At 36.8% G+C, this 16,712-nt stretch overlaps 1 protein-coding gene across 2 annotated transcripts in view, besides 2 other annotated features; it reads left to right on the plus strand.

The window, feature by feature from the left end:
* Nucleotides 1–9,548, plus strand: part of CPED1 (cadherin like and PC-esterase domain containing 1) — a 308,732-nt gene extending 299,184 nt beyond the window's left edge. For both annotated transcript variants that reach the window (NM_024913.5, XM_024446941.2), the window contains one exon: nucleotides 7,546–9,548. In NM_024913.5, coding sequence (NP_079189.4) covers nucleotides 7,546–7,758 — 213 coding nt within the window. In that variant the 3' untranslated portion in view covers nucleotides 7,759–9,548. The remainder of the gene's footprint in view (nucleotides 1–7,545) is intronic.
* Nucleotides 3,394–3,546: a silencer, noted in NCBI's record as "fragment chr7:120931342-120931494 (GRCh37/hg19 assembly coordinates)". NCBI's record gives its function as "represses an EF-1alpha promoter that drives an FKBP-Casp9 reporter gene in an ReSE screen in HepG2 liver carcinoma cells {active_cell/tissue: HepG2}" and the evidence as "EXISTENCE:reporter gene assay evidence [ECO:0000049][PMID:32094911]".
* Nucleotides 14,439–14,508: an enhancer, noted in NCBI's record as "active region_26561". NCBI's record gives its function as "activates an Ori minimal core promoter by ATAC-STARR-seq in GM12878 lymphoblastoid cells {active_cell/tissue: GM12878}" and the evidence as "EXISTENCE:reporter gene assay evidence [ECO:0000049][PMID:35858748]".

Below are 16,712 nucleotides of genomic sequence, written 5' to 3' on the forward strand. Positions count from 1 at the left end.
TCTCTAATATATTTCTTACTAATTATGTATAGACTGCAGTAAAGCTATACAATTTTCAAATGTTAACTTTATAATATCTAATTATTTTTCAGTATATTCCTTGGATTTTCAGGGTAAACAATCATACAGTTACATATAATTGTTTGGTAATTTTCTGTAATGAAATGTTTCATAATATTGAAACATTTTGCATTCCTGAAATAAATTGTATGGGCTAGTGAAACAGCATATAATACTACCAGATGTTTTTAATGCTCCTGGATTCAATTCACAATGGCAAAGGAATTTTTACATCTATATTTTGACAAATCAAAATTGAACTAATTCTTTATAGTATCAGGATGATAATGACTTAACAAAGGGATTAGGAAACATCATCTTTGATTATTTTCTACAAAATAGTTTCCAAGGGAAACCAAGTGAATTAAGTGTTGTTGGGCCAGCCACTGGCCTGGGCATGAAGGGTTCCATTTTGAAGAACATATGGGAGCATTGACCCTATAAAAGTCATTAGCCTGGTCCTCAGAAGCTACAAGTAACCCCATCATCCTGATTTCCTTTCTCAGACATCAATTTAGTGATCTCTAAAAATAGAAATAGGTTATCAACCTTCCATTGAGATCTGTCAAAATACTGACACTACTCCCAAATGGAAGCCGTACGCTTCAGCAGTTACACTGGAGATCTATATTTTTGTATATCCCATTTATGAATCACATTTAAGATTGTTGTAAGCATCTACACCAGCATTATCCAATGGTTGTAATGCAACTTTAAATTCAACCCTAAAATCACACAAATATTAAAATAATGTTTAAAGAACTATAAACTTTTTCAGTGGGATAGACCCTTTTCTATTTTGCATGTAATTAGTATGCAGACCATCAGGCACTTGCAAAAGCCAGAACTCTAGATAAAATCGTATAAACAAAATTAACCTTATTTTGGCTTCAGAACACTAGAATAATATTATTTCAAGGTCGAATGTTATATTTATGCTTAAATGTTTTCTTAAATAAACTTCCTGAAGACTGCTCACTAATCTTGCTGTTGAGTACAAACCTCCTCTAAAACTGACAAAACTTTCAGGAAAACATTGATGCACCTCTCCTGTCTATCATATTTAGAGTTGCCATATAACCAAATAAGGGTGGAAAGAGCTGTACACAGTAGAAAATTTTGACCCTGGGACCTAGACTATTAATCAGTGGTTAACCACAAACTGAGCTCTAAACTACAATCCACAGGGATTCCTCACTACAACCTCCTGATTTCACTGGATTTCTTAAGAGTTACCTGATCTGAGGGCCAGATCAAGCAAAGCCAAACCTTCCATAGCTACAGGAAAACATTTCTTTGGGGTTAGCAGAGTATAACTGGTTTTAAAACATATTATTGTTTCATTTTTTCTTCAAATGTGAATAGTTTCAAAATTTTTATCATTACATAATAATGCACATTCATTGTATTATATTAAAGAAAAAAATCAAGCCCAAAGTTACAAGAATACATTAAAAATGTCCTATAATTCCTCTACCAAAAGGTCACTATTGTTAATATTTTGGTATAGATCTTTACAGATTTCCTATTCAAATAACTTTTCAGAAATGGTTCAAGCTCATTTGCAATGTAACTAAAACTACTTCTCTTCCAAATAGATATCATGTGATTTTTTAAAAAATACTCAATTTTGTTTATATGGAACTGTTTTCATTGCACTACCTTATATGAGATGAAAAAATATGTACCTAAATTGTTATATAGAACTCAAAACAATTTTTAAAAAATTATGTAAGCTAGAATTACTTTCATTAGTCATTGATAATAGTTTATATGTCCAAATAGTGACAGAAAAAGTATTTTATAATTGCATTAAAATGATGAAATTCATAATTTGTTATTCTTTTATTATTTTATTTATTTTTATTATACTTTAAGTTCTGGGATACATATGCAGAACATGCAGGTTTGTTACATAGGTATACATGTGTCATGGTGGTTTGCTGCATCCATCAACCCATCATCTACAGTAGGTATTTCTCCTAATGCTATTCCTCTCCTTTCCCCCGAACTCCTGACAGGCCCCAGTGTGTGTTGTTCCCCTCCCTGTGCCCATATGTTCTCATCGTTCAACTCCCACTTACGAGTGAGACCATGCGGTGTTTGGTTTTCTGTTCCTGTGTTAGTTTGCTGAGAATGATGGTTGCCAGCTTCATCCATGTCACTGCAAAGCACATGAAACTCATCCTTTTTTATGGCTGCATAGTACTCCATGGTATATACGTGCCACATTTTCCTCATCCAGTCTAACATTGATGGGCATTTTGGTTGGTCCCAAGTCTTTGCTATTGTGAATAGTGGTGCAATAAACATATGTGTGCATGTGTCTTTTTAGTAGAATGATTTATAATCTTTGGATATATACCCAGTAATGGGATTGCTAGGTCAAATGGTATTTCTAGTTCTAGATCCTTGAGGAATCACCACACTGTCTTCCACAATGGTTGAAATAATTTACACTCCCACCAACAGTGTAAAAGCGTTCCTATTTCTCCACATCCTCTCCAGCATCTGTTGTTTCCTGACTTTTTAATGATCGCCATTCTAACTGGCATGAGATGGTATCTCATTGTGGTTTTGATTTGCATTTCTCTAATGACCAGTGATGATGAGCTTTTTTTCATATGTTTATTGGCCACATAAATGTCTTCTTTTGAGAAGTGTCTGTTCATATCCTTCACCCACTTTTTGATGGGGTTGTTTTGTTCTTGTAAACTTGTTTAAGTTCCTTGTAGATTCTGGATTTAGCCCTTTGTTAGATGGACAGATTGCAAAAATTTACTCCCATTCTGTAGGTTGTCTGTTCACTCTGATGGTAGTTTCTTTTGCTGTTCAGAAGCTCTTTAGTTTAATTAGATCCCATTTGTCAATTTTGGCTTTTGGTGCCATTGCTTTTGGTGTTTTATTCATGAAGTCTTTGCCCATGCCTATGTCCTGAATGGTATTGCCTAGGTTTTCTTCTAGGGTTTTTATGGTTTTAGGTCTTATGTTTAAATATTTAAACTATCTTGAGTTAATTCTTGTATAAGGTGTAAGGAAGGGGTCCAGTTTCAGTTTTCTGCATATGGCTAGCCAGTTTTCCCAACACTATTTATGAAATAGGGAATCCTTTCCCCATTGCTTGTTTTTGTCAGGTTTGTCAAAGATCAGATGGTTGTAGATGTGTGGTGTCATTTCTGAGGCCTCTCCTCTGTTCCATTGGTCTATGTATCTGTTTTGGTACCAGTACCATGCTGTTTTGGTTACAGTAGCCTTGTAGTATGGTTTGGAGTCAGGTAGTGTGATGCCTCCAGCTTTGTTCTTTTTGCTTAGGATTGTCTTGGTTATACGGGCTTCTTTTGGTTTCATATGAAATTTAAAGTAGTTTTCTAATTCTGTGAAGAAAGTCAATGGTTCCTTGATGGGAATAGCATTGAATCTATAAATTACTTTGGGCAATATGGCCATTTTCACAATATTGATTCTTCCTATCCATAAGCATGGAATGTTTTTCCATTTGTTTGTGTCCTCTCTTATTTCCTTGGGCAGTGGTTTGTAGTTCTCCTTGAAGAGGTTCTTCATATCCCTTGTAAGTTGGATTCCTAAGTATTTTATTCTCTTTGTAGCAATTGTGAATAGGAGTTCACTCATGATTTAGCACTCTGTTTGTCTATAATTGGTGTATAGGAATGCTTGTGATTTTTGCACATTGATCTTGTATCCTGAGATTTTGCTGAAGTTGCTTATCAGCTCGAGGAGTTTTTGGGCTGAGATGATGGGGTTTTCTAAAGATACACTCATGTCATCAGCAAACAGAGACAATTTGACTTCCTCTCTTCCTATTTGAATACGCTTTATTTCTTTCTCTTGCCTGATTGCCCTGGCCAGAACTTCCAATACTATGTTGAATAAGAGCAGTGAGAGAGGGCATCTTTGTCTTGTGCTGGTTTTCAAAGTGAATGCTTCTAGCTTTTGCCCATTCAGTATGATACTGGCTGTGGGTTTGTCATAAATAGCTCTTATTATTTTCAGATACATTCCATCAATGCCTAGTTGGGGTTGCTCTTCTTGAAGAGTTTCTCTGTGGTGTTCTCTGTCTTTCTTGAATTTGAATGTTGGCCTGCCTTGCTAGGTTGGGGAAGTTCTCCTGGATAATATCCTGGAGAGTGTTTTCCAAGTTGGTTCCATTCTCCCCATCACTTTCAGGTACACCAATCAAATGTAGGCTTGGTCTTTTCACATAGTCCCATATTTCTTGGAGGCTTTGTTCATTCCTTTTCTTTTCATTCTTTTTTCTCTAATCTTGTCTTCATGCTTTATTTCATTAAGTTGATCTTCAATCTCTGATATGCTTTCTTCTGCTTGATTGATTCGGTTATTGATACCTGTGTATGCTTCATGAAGTTCTCGTGCTGTGTTTTTCAGCTCCATCGGGTCATTTATGTTCTACTCTAAACTCATTATTTTAGTTAGCAGTTCCTGTAACCTTTTATCAAGGTTCTTAACTTCTTTGCATTCGGTTAGAACATGCTCCTTTAGCTTGGAGGAGTTTGTCTTTACCCACCTTCTGAAGCCTACTTCTGTCAATTTGTCAAACTGATTCTCCATCCAGTTTTGTTCCCTTGCTGGCGAGGAGTTGCGATCGTTTGGAGGAGAAGAGGCATTCTGGTTTTTGGAATTTTCAGCCTTTTTGTGCTGGCTTTTCCTCATCTTCGTGGATTTACCTACCTTTGGTCTTTGATGTTGGTGACCTTCGGATGGGGTTTTTAGGTGGGTGTCCTTTTTGTTGATGTTGATGCTATTGCTTTCTGTTTGTTAGTTTTCCTTCTAACAGTCAGGCCGCTCTTCTGCAAGTCTGCTGGAGTTTGCTAGAGGTCCACCCCAGGCCCTGTTTACCTGAGTATCACCACCAGAGGCTGCAGAACAGCAAAGATTGCTGCCTGCTCATTCCTCTGGAAGCTTCATCCCAGAGGGGCACCTGCCAGATGCCAGCCAGAGCTCTCCTGTATGAGGTGTCTGTCGACCCCTGCTGGAAAATGTCTCCCAGTCACGAGGCACGGGGGTCAGGAACCCACTTGAGGAGGCAGTCTGTCCCTTAGCAGAGCTCTAGTGCTGTGTTGGGAGATCCTCTGCTCTCTTCGGAGCCAGCAAGCAGGAACGTTTAAGTCTGCTGAAGCTGCAACCACAGCTGCCCCTTCCCCCAGGTGCTCTGTCCCAGGGAGATGAGAGTTTTATCTATAAGCCCCTGACTAGGGCTGCTGCCTTTCTTTCAGAGATGCCCCGCCCAGAGAGGAGGAATCTAGAGAAGCAGACTGGCACTGTGGTGGGTTCTGCATCCAGTTCGAAATTCCCAGCGGTTTTGTTTACACTGTGAGGGGAAAACTGCCTACTCAAGCCTCAGTAATGGTAGACACCCCTACCCCCACCAAGCTCGAGTGTCCCAGGTCGACTTCAGACTGCAGTGTTGGCAGTGAGAATTTCAAGCCAGTGGATCTTAGCTTGTTGGACTCCATGGGGTGGGATCCATTGAGCAAGACCACTCAGCTCTCTGGCTTCAGCCCCGTTTCCAAGGGAGTGAACAGTTCTGTCTTGCTGGTGTTCCAGGCACTACTGGGGTATGAAAAAAAAGCCTCCTGCAGCTAGCTCAGTGTGTGCCCAAATGGCTGCCCCATTTTGTGCTTGAAACCCAGGGCCCTGGTGGCGTCGGCACCCAAGGGAATCTCCTGGTCTGCGGGTTGCGAAGACTGGGGTAAAAGCATAGTATCTGGGCTGGATAGCACCATCCCTCATGGCACAGTCTCTCATGCCTTCCCTTGGCTAGGGGAGGGAGTTCCCTAACCCCTTGTGCTTCCTTGGTGAGGCAACGCCTCACCCTGCTTCTGCTTGCCCTCCATGGGCTGCACCCACTGTCTAACCAGTCCCAGTGAGATGGACCGGGTACCTCAGTTGGAAATGCAGAAATCACCTGCCTTCTGCCTTGTTCTCGCTGTGAGCTGCAGACTGGAGCTGTTCCTATTTGGCGATCTTGCCAGCCCCCCATTCGTTATTCATTTATAAAGACACCCAAAACATCCTTACCAGTACTTTTTCTCCTTCCCTTCCTCTCTTTTTCTACTTCCCAACCTTTCCCCCAATCTCTCTCGGTCCTCCTTTTGTTCTCTAGAGCTAACAACCTGAGTTTGATTAACTCAGTAATTAAAGCTGATAATTATATGATTTCACTAGGACAACGTTTGTAAAATGTACAAGTAGACTACAAATGTAGCCTCTTTGTTTGGATGTGTCTGTATATATATATTCATAAAGTAACCATGAATGAAATCACAAGAAATGAACCATATATTTGGGGAGGAAATTTAGTAGCTTGGGGTGAGGAACAGAAATAGGAAATAAACTTTTTGTTATATACCCTTTTATAACTTATGCATGATGCTTCTTAAAACCGCTGTTCTCTGTGGTGGGAAGATCTATGCACACCTACCCCCAAAAGTTCAGGAAGCTGAGAAGCTGAAGGAAGAGGCCAACAAATCCGTTTTCTTAGAAAGAAACATTTAAAAGGGACTTACAAACAGATGCCATGTCTGTGTCTCAGGTGGCAGCAAAACAAAATGGTGGATCCCTGCACCATTATAACCCCAGACCCAGGGCTTATATGCCATTGGAAAAGGGTGATTCAGAGGGATGTGTAGGAAGACTGAAGTATGATAACATCAAGGTTGTTTTGACCTAAGGGCAGGATTTATCATAAGTGTGCTCTTACACAAGGAACAATAGATAAACTGGAAATCTTACAGACCTTCCTGGGACTGGGGTTAATCAGAAGTCAACATGGCAGATTAGCATCCAAGATGGAGTTACTTTAGCCTTCTAAGCAAAAAAAAAAAAAAAAGTCTAAAACTAAATCTACATATATATCTCCAAATATACGAAGTTATTAGTTTAATAGTGCATAGGCAGCTCCCCAGATTCCATAACTTACTAAGTGCCCAGAGCAACAAAACCACTAAAAGTAACAGTTAGCTTATAAGTCTGCAATGGAAAAAAATTTTTTCTTTTCTCTGAAAATAGTTTTAGTTGCCATTTTATAGAAGAGTGCCATGACATGTTTAGGGTACCATGTTTGAATCAGTGGCCTGGCAAAGGCACACCAGTGCCTTTCCTATTGTAGTACTATGTCAAACTGTATGTCAGTGTGCCTGGCCTGAAAACACACACACACACACACACACACACACACACACAAAGACTAGAAGATAAATCATCTGAGACTGTTCCTTAGTTGCATTGGAGACAGCTGCAATGAGGTAAGAAAAGTGACAAAGTTGAATTTTAACCTTGGTCTTTTTCGAAACATAAGTTATAGCCATTCCTGGTTATGTAAGTCATAGTCATGCCCTTTTAGCAACATCTGTGTGGCAGAGATGCATGTTCAAGTTTGAGAGTTAGTTATGCAGGGATTGGATATTCTTGATTTTGCCTCACAGTTTTCTTGCTCTTCATTTACAGGTAGTGAAATCAAAGTTATCCAAAGAATATAACTTTATTAAAATGAAAAGATCAAGAAATCATATCATGGGAAGATATTTCAGCAATCAAAGCAAACTACAACAAGGCACTGTAACAAATTTTCGATCGCCATATCATGTCAGAGGTCCAATAAATCAGGTTTGTTCTGAAATCCTTCTCAGCAGGATGTGTGCAAATAAAAGGACTATGTAGGCTCCCTGCAGGAGAGCTGAATCTGGAGCTGGAGACGAGCTAGTCACCCGGACAATGGTCTAGGAGCCAAGCGCTGCACATCGCACACATTTGGGATCGACCACACACACTTGTGCACACCAGCACATGCATGCACACCAGTACACACACAGTTAAATAATGATAACACTTCTTACAGCTTTATGAATTCAAGATGTGACCTTGAACACCAGTCCATTTCACAGTGAAAGATATACCTAGAGAAACGTTACTTGAAGCATAATTATTAACCAGAACCACTGTGGGCCAGGTATGGCATTGTGATAATAAAGAGAAATATAGACACTTAAAATTATGTGAAAAAAAGGATAATGCTCTTTCATGTTGTCTTACCATATCTATAGGTACATCAATATTGAAAAGGAGAAAAACCAATGACATTCCACTGGCAAGTAGAAGTTGTCCTTTCATTCTTTACCAGGAGAAAATGTGATGTTTATGATGGCTTAGGCTTTGTGAATCTAATGCTTATGAAAAACATTTCTTCCTATACTTTTTAAATTTTATTACTGAAAGGAAAAGAACAGGAATGTTCCACAAGGGAATTTGAAGAGATTCTGTGAGAGAGATATGAAATATTTTATAGTTAAAACACCAATATATTCAACTTTACACTTCTTGTGTTTTTCATAAACATTCCCTCTTGTCTTATCTGTGTACTTCGATGGGTAACTGCAGTCTGAATTAATGAAATATGTAATTTTAAAGTAAGTAACAAAATGTAGTTCCTCATGTATTACTGTACTATGTTTCATTGATGATATTACTTAAATCTTGTGTTTGCCATTACAGCCCTATGTAACTTAAAATTACAATTATATTTTATGTAAATATTTTGCAAAGGACTATGCATTCTGAAATGCATAGGTGCTTTTTCCCACCAAGCATTTGCATATGTCCACAAATAGTATTATGTTACTAGTATCTATATTTTGATTTTCCTGAGCAACTGTATCAAATCCAAATTTAGATTAGACAAAAAATTATTATTTTAATTAAACTGTGGCATACATATAATACATACCTAATTATAGTAGTGAGAACTATTTCTTTTATCTCTTTAGGTTCAAAATGGTGAATTTCTTTATTATATGAATGCTTTGTTGTGAGATAACATCACACTGTTACAATGGATTTTAGAGGTTTGTCTTTTTTGGGTGGGGTGGGAAGCTGAGAGGGTTAATTCAATACATGGCTGAAATTACCAAATGTATAAATACCTCATTTTCACTACCATACAAGAAAAAAACACCTATTTTGATTGATCAGTTCTTTTGTATGAATATCCACCTCCTTTAAATACTCTATTTTTATATATATTTTTATATGAAGATAAACATGAATTTATATTTAACTGTCTTAAATTATATTTACATAAATGCAAATATCACTTGATATAAACAATACAAATCTGCATCTTACAGATGATAATTTTTTTAGAAGAATGATACAGAATTAACTTTAAAAATAAAACTTTTCTAATATACACTTAAATGCAAACATCATTTTTAAATTTTCAGTGATTTTTTTAATGACATAAAACGTTACCAATGTGTGCAGCCTCTCCATCATGTTTTAACATACTGTATACTCTATAGCAGTATTACAGTCAGTATTTCATATAATTTTCTTTAGACCTAACTGTTACCATCTGACTGAGGTTACTCTGGTATTTATCTCTTCGCTGCTGAAATAATAATGGATTTTAGAAACAATTGTAATAATATCATTAATAAATGTCTTACTAGTAATAGTCTGTGTTTGTAGAGTATCTTTTATTTTCTTTTTTACTGAAGATGTACATCTATGCAAACAGTGACCACTTGGCAGGGATATTATCATGTGGATTCAAGTATTATAGCATGGTTAAACACGATTAACTATATAGTTCCTTCTAAGCCTAATATTCTTTAAGTTTATGATCAGATGAACTTCCCACTGTGCAATGACCAAAATGTATGAAGATAATGTATTGTAGTGACAAGCTTTTTAAAAATAATAATAATAAGACACTTACTTAAATGCTAGGAATCATTTTAATTGCTCCTTAACTGAAACTGCATTTTATTTTACCTAGGTGTATGTGTATGTGTATCCGTGTGCACATGTGTTTGTACATATTTAGCAAGTTCTTAATTTCAATGGGAAAAAATGGGAGTAGGCATTTTAACATATTTTTAGGTGTAAAACTTACAGGAAATGTATTATTTTGGTAAGAATTTATTAGAATCCAATCCAAACTAAACTAAAGAAAACATTTATAACATTAAAAGTCAATAATAACTGCATAAACATTTCCAAGCATCACTGTTGATCTTGTGTGTGGGTGGGCGTGTGCGTGTGTGTTTAAAGGCACAGTGTACTATTTGCCAGCCACCCAACTAGGCAGATAAGATCCTGCACAGACATGAAAAAGAAGGGCTCACATTTGCCTGCTGGTTGGGTTTACATTTGGGTCATTCAATTATCCTTTTGTTATTTGCCCATGTGCCTAGAAGTCTTCTCTACAGAGCAGTGATTCCTACTTAAGAATGTGTTGGAAGAAATTACTGATTTTTGAGATAGAAATATTTCCCATAATGCTTATGGAGAAAAAAAAACTAATACTATTCTCCAGTTGAAATGCCTTTTAGTTTCCTTTCGCTGAACAATTCCAAGAAGAAATATAGAAATGGCTCAAAATTATGTAACCAAATAAGAGTTATTTCAAAGCTATAATGCTTTGGCAGAGCAGGGAGGGGTATCTAATATAGTAGTGAGATTAAGAGCCTAGATAGTTAGTTAATCAGGGTTAGGATCTTATTAAGTATTTTCCTAAGGGCTCCTCCATGTGAGTAAATGCTGAAACAATCATCTTTATCTAAAATTTATCTGAATTTTTATCTTATAAAAATCCCCCAAATTCACCAAGACCAGTGGCTATTAATGTATTTAAAATGAACAAAAATGACTGAGTAAGCTTATATAAACTGATAACTTCAAAAATACATGTTCAAGCAGAAAATGATAGCATAGCAGATTCCACCATTTTGAGTGGATCAAGGAATAATTACTCTCCAAATGCTACTGTAGTTTTTTTTTTAATGTGTACTTGAAGTTGAAATGATTTTTATTGCTCTTGGAAACTAAGGCATTTTAATAGATCACTTCAGCCTAAGGGGATGAACCAGAATTTGTCGGGAACCCCCAAAGACCTACTAAAAACAACAGGATATTGCCAGCACCTACAAACAAGATTTTGTATTTGGCACAACTTCCAAGGTTTCATACTGTCAAAAAGCCTTTTATCATGTTTTTATTGCTGCAGTAACTGCTATTATCAACTTCCATATTTCTTTTATGATTCATTCACTTGATGTAGGGGGATGTAGAACTCATTTTTTTCTAATTCATATAGACCATGCAGTCCTCCTAAAATGGTATTCCATTTGTTTTCTTTATGCTTGCTGAAATGTAAAGAATTTGTTTTATGGCCCTATTAAATGTCAGATCACTATGCTTTAACACACTAGATACATAATCAAATATTACGGTGAAAATTTATTAAGAGTATTTAAATTGTGTAAGTCTATTTGAAAGGCAAATAAAAATAATTACTTAAAACCAACTAATAGTAGGGGCAAAATAAAAACCGTCACTTTTAGAGAAAACACCATAAAAGGATTCCTACAGTGTAATACTATTTAGGTAGCTTAAGTTTTGGATTTGATTTATGTTGCGTGGTATTTTCTCCCAAGTCTGTAGCATTCTCTGCAGAGGACTTTTTAAAATTTTGTTTTTCAAAGACTTTTTTTCTAGCCCTTTTTGTAATATATCTGGGAAAAATATTCCATTGTAGATTAGGTTATGAGTAGACATTTAATATCTCTAACCAAGATGTCTTCTTAAGGTGATTTATGTGTAGCATCACATGATTCATTTTATCATATAAAATAAAAAAATATACTTTGTATAATATGAAAGAGTAATTCCTATGAAATCCATTAAAATGTTTAGATATGTTTTAAAAGCAAAATATTTACAATTGATTATTGGTACATAAGAATTCAGAAGTAACATGGTTTCATAAATACAAAATGTATCCAATTGATTCTCAACTATATAGTGACTTATTTTATGGTTGGCTGGTGAAATGCAGCTATTTGATGTAGCTTTTGGGGCTACGCTACACAGTTTAATGATGGTATGCAATTTATTTATATATTTTGTTCAATTGTATTTCCACTTTCTTTTTTATAATAAAACCTGTTCAAAATATGCAGATTGAAATCTCAGTGTATGCCATCCAGGTAAACATTTTAATTTTCTTTCCAGTCTCAAATTTTTATTTGGTCTATAATTGGTATGCCTTTAAAATTAAATCATAAATTTGAATATTAGAAAAAAATTTAAGGACACTAAAATGAAACAACCATATGTTGTAACTTGTAATATAACCATGTATCCACTAATCTCCACTTAGGTATAAGAGGTTGTTTGGTTTCCAGTAGATCTTTTTTACGTTAATAGCTGGATATCTGGGGTTCAGAATTCTTGTGTCCGTTTTCAATAAATACACAGAAATAAGAGTGCAAAATGCCAACACTGAATGCAGTGCAGCCGAGGATAGTCCATGAGGTACATCATGGTCTGTGCAGGATTGAAAGGAAGCTACAGCATAGGCCTTCACACCAGCGGAAGCTCTTCTCCACTGGGTTTGGGGATGGATACATAAGAGCACCTTCTAGCTACCTTTGACAGCTCTTGGACATCTCTTCAACCTCTTCTTAGTATGAATCACATTGGAGGGTCCAATTTCCAAAGAAAAAGGAAATAATAATTTTAAGTCTTTAGTGGACCAAAAATTATAACCTAGATTAACCAAATAGCAAGTGAATGTGACTCTAATGATATTTTCTGAGTTAAAAATCAGGAAAAATAGAAAATGTGCTCTAATCATCAATATAGTATATCCTCAAGAACTTGAAATAGAAACCCATTTTTTACTAAATTGATTTTTTCACCGAAGGGCTTACTCATCTACTGTGATCATTCCTGCTTGTCCTTACCTTTGCCTTTGAAATGGAACTTATGCAGTATTTTTCTGTGTGCATTTAATATGTAATACAAGATACATTTTAAAGCTTACATTTTTATGTTCTCCTTCTTGCCTTAATTACATGTAACATGAAGCTTATGTTTTAATGGGCACAGGCTCTCCAGTTTTACAGTATCATAAAAAGAGTTTATGAGCCTTTTGTTAAAAATCAGTGCCTATGTCATTGGCAGGGCATGGAATTATTTGCAACTACTTCTTCTACTTATAAGATAAAATTTGGTCTGAATTAAAAATATTATGAGAGAAAACTGAAACAATGCCTTTGCAGCCCAGAATGAGTTTAGTCATCAAATGGCACAAATTTGGGTCCATCAGTTTCCACTACATGTGCATACCCACAGGGGAAAACCTGATCTCTGTTCACACTTGCCTCTATAGAATACCCATTTCAATGTTCATATTAGTTATGCAAAATCACTGGCATGTTTTTAAAAGGGTGTGGATACACCCTTAGCTCAAGTTACTCCTGCCAAGAACAGGAATTATTTCAATAGGATGGAGTTTCCAGAGCCATGCTATTGGTAAACAGCCGGAAGTCTCTCTTGGCCACCTATCCTATAAATAAATTGATACCTTCTGTGAATTATTTATGGATTCTGAGATGAGGCTGATACAGACATTGCATCTCAGATTCTTATTTCCCAGAAGAATGGACAATCACAAAGTGGGTGATTGGCTTACATGGTGTTTTTCTCTTTCCTGGGGTCATCATAAGTCTTTGAAGTACTGAGCTTCTTGAAGTCGATTTCTCTTCCAATGGAAGCATCCCTGGGAGGGATGCTTGTCAAATACAGTGAAAATAAATGCCTTCCCTTCACCACTGATCATGGACTTGTTATGCTGCCTCTGCAGACAAGAAAGTCAAAACTGTTGGGTCAAAGCCAAACCTTCCCTGGTTTGTGTCTGGGCAGAGTGTGTGTCAAATAAAAGACTTGAAAACAGGAATTCTGGATTATTTTCAAATAAAAACTCATCCATACTGTATAAATACGTGTGTGTGTGTGTGTGTGTATGTATAGATAAAATGTATGCACACACACATACACACACAATGAAATAGATAATGGAGCAGTATCAAATAATCTTATATCCATCGAATTAGTTCCTTTAAAACATTCCTTTTATTTTTTATTTATAGCAGTATGTAAAACCTTTAGTATAACAGGTTCTATATCTCTGGATGCCTTTACCAAGTGCTCGTCTGAACATGTGGGGAATGCACTTCGAGGCCTCCGCCAGGCAGTGACAGAGCAGGGAGGGACGTGTTAGGGGAGATGTTTGCTAGATGCTTTTCTTAAGAGGTGACAAGTAACCCAACTGCCAGAAATCACCAAAATAAGAAGATACTAGGAAATGTTGGACTGTGGAGTCACGAGGGCTCCAAAACTAGAGAGAACGATAAACTATAGTTTAAACTTTAAAACTACAGAGAACTCGGGGAAAGAAAGAGAGCAGGGCAACATTGTACCCTGATGAAAGTAAATGGATCAGTAAAGTTCACTTATGGGAATCACTCTCAGTAGGGACTCTGGCCACATGCCGTGCCTCTGCCCTCAGATCTCACAGGGCCTTCTCACTGGCAAATGCTGAGATGGGTGGCTGAGAGGTAAGTCATATCCCTCAGTATGACTCAGTATGACCCTCAGTATGGCTGAGGGGTAAGTCATAACCCTTAGTTATGCGGCAGCATAACTAAGTCCTGTAAACTGTGGCAGAGGTTCCGCTGGGTGGAGGACACCCAGCACGATCACAGTTCTACAGCTCATAACTTTCTTCCTCCAAATCGAATTTCTAGTTGGCCTCCACCCATTTTCGTTTCCCCTTTTTGACTTAGATGGTTTCTGTGTCCACCTCCATTATTGCATTTTCACGGTATAATTACCTACAATCATCTATTTGATTACCTTGAGCCATTCATCTTTCTACTATCCAATCTCTAATGTAGAGTAGGGGCTCAGCAAACATTGCTCTCTCTCATTCTTTTCTCTGTTCACTACTTCTTAGCTCAGATGCCATCTCCTCTAGGAATCTTTCTCTGATTCCTCATACACTGATCAAAGTATTCTTTCTTTGCATTCCTTTAGCGTTCCCTGTTTACCCCAACCCAGCCATTTTCTCTTTGTCTGTTTAAGTTTGTCCTCCCTAGAATGTAAACTCCATGCGGAAGGGACTGAGTTGTTTGTTTGATTGTGGATATGCAAAATTTTTAACTGTTTTATTGAGATAAAATTTACCTACATGAAGTTCACTCATTTAAAGTGTAAAATTAAGTAGTTTTTGGTATATTTACAGTTCTGCAGTCATCAAGATAATCTAACTTTAGAACTTTTTTATCATCCCAAAAAGAAACATAGCAGTCACTCTTCAACTTTCCCCACCTCCACTCCTCAGACTTCAGTGACCACCAATCTGCTTTTTGTTTCTATGGATTTGCCTACCTTGGATGTTTCATATAAATAAGATCACACAATATGTGGTCTTTTTGGCTGCTTTCCTTCACTTAGCATTATTATGTTTTAATCTTTGCACTCTCAGTTTAGAAACAAATTACCTGGCACAGGAAAGACACTCATGAATTTTTATAAAAAAAAAAAAAACACACAAACAAATGCACTAACAAACTCTAGCATTTTCTGGAGTTAAAAATTGTGCTCGAAATAGAAGTTATCTAAAAGGCTTTGACAACGCACTATGTTAGAAATAGTATTAATATCATCATTTCCTGATACCCTGTTTAGCAAGTACCAAATGTTTGTTCCCATTGTTTATATGTATTATTTGTAACTGTTTTATTGAGATACAATTTACCTACCATGAAGTTTACTCATTTAAAGCATAAAATTCAGTGGTTTTTAGTATATTTACAGTTGGGATTGAGGTAGAGTACGAAAGAAGTAGTTGGGGAAGATGTCAGGTACATGTGGAAGTTGTCCTCCTGGACTCAATGGGGAGGCTGCTAGAAGTTCAGGGAGCTGCTGACACCCGGTGCTGGGCCCTGAGGCTTGCAGTTTGCACAGGGCTATGGTGCTTCAGGCCTGCTCTTTGCTGTACCCCTATACCTCGCTCATCTCAGAAGAAGCAGATGTTCTTTCCACCCTGCCCCTAGCAAAACTGGAAAGGATTTGATGAAGTTATGCCCATGTCTAAATGAACCATATCTCAAGCCCTCATAACTGAAGTTTTAAGAGAGGACAAAGTAAGACATTTCTAGTTGTGGAATTTCAGGTATCGGCTAGCCAGAAATGAGACTATTAAAAGAAGCAGGGAGTATCACATAACTTATCTGGAAGAGTCTGCTATTTTGACACCAAAAATTGAGGAGCCAGGAAAAAAGCTATACTGATTGCCCCATTTAGAGATGTGAGTTATTGGAGCCTAAAGTATATGGGAAGATATTCATGCAGGCCCTGCCCTTCCAGCATATAGACCAATGGGCATGGCTTCTGATCCATACAAATATTTCTACTTGCTTTCTTTTTCTACCATACTATCACCAAATGCAATATTAATGCAACATCAAAATTCATTTTTACATTATAAATCTTCCCTTAATTTTGTATATGATAAGCGCTTACAGATGCAAATCATGTTTAAATAGAAGACATAATGGTTAAAAGAAGTATGCCATATTGTAATAATTTTGCAAACAGCTGTTTCAAGTTAGCATGTGTGTATTCCCAGTCTTGTGTATATGAGATACAAGTTAATGTCAACAGTACATTAACAATGCAACTGAATTTAATTATGGAACTGGAAGTGCTATGGGTAGAGAGATCACATTTTCACTGAAAAGTAGAGGTAGGGTGATATCTGTTTC

Source organism: Homo sapiens, chromosome 7 (assembly GCF_000001405.40).
Source record: "Homo sapiens chromosome 7, GRCh38.p14 Primary Assembly".
Lineage (NCBI taxonomy): Eukaryota > Metazoa > Chordata > Mammalia > Primates > Hominidae > Homo > Homo sapiens.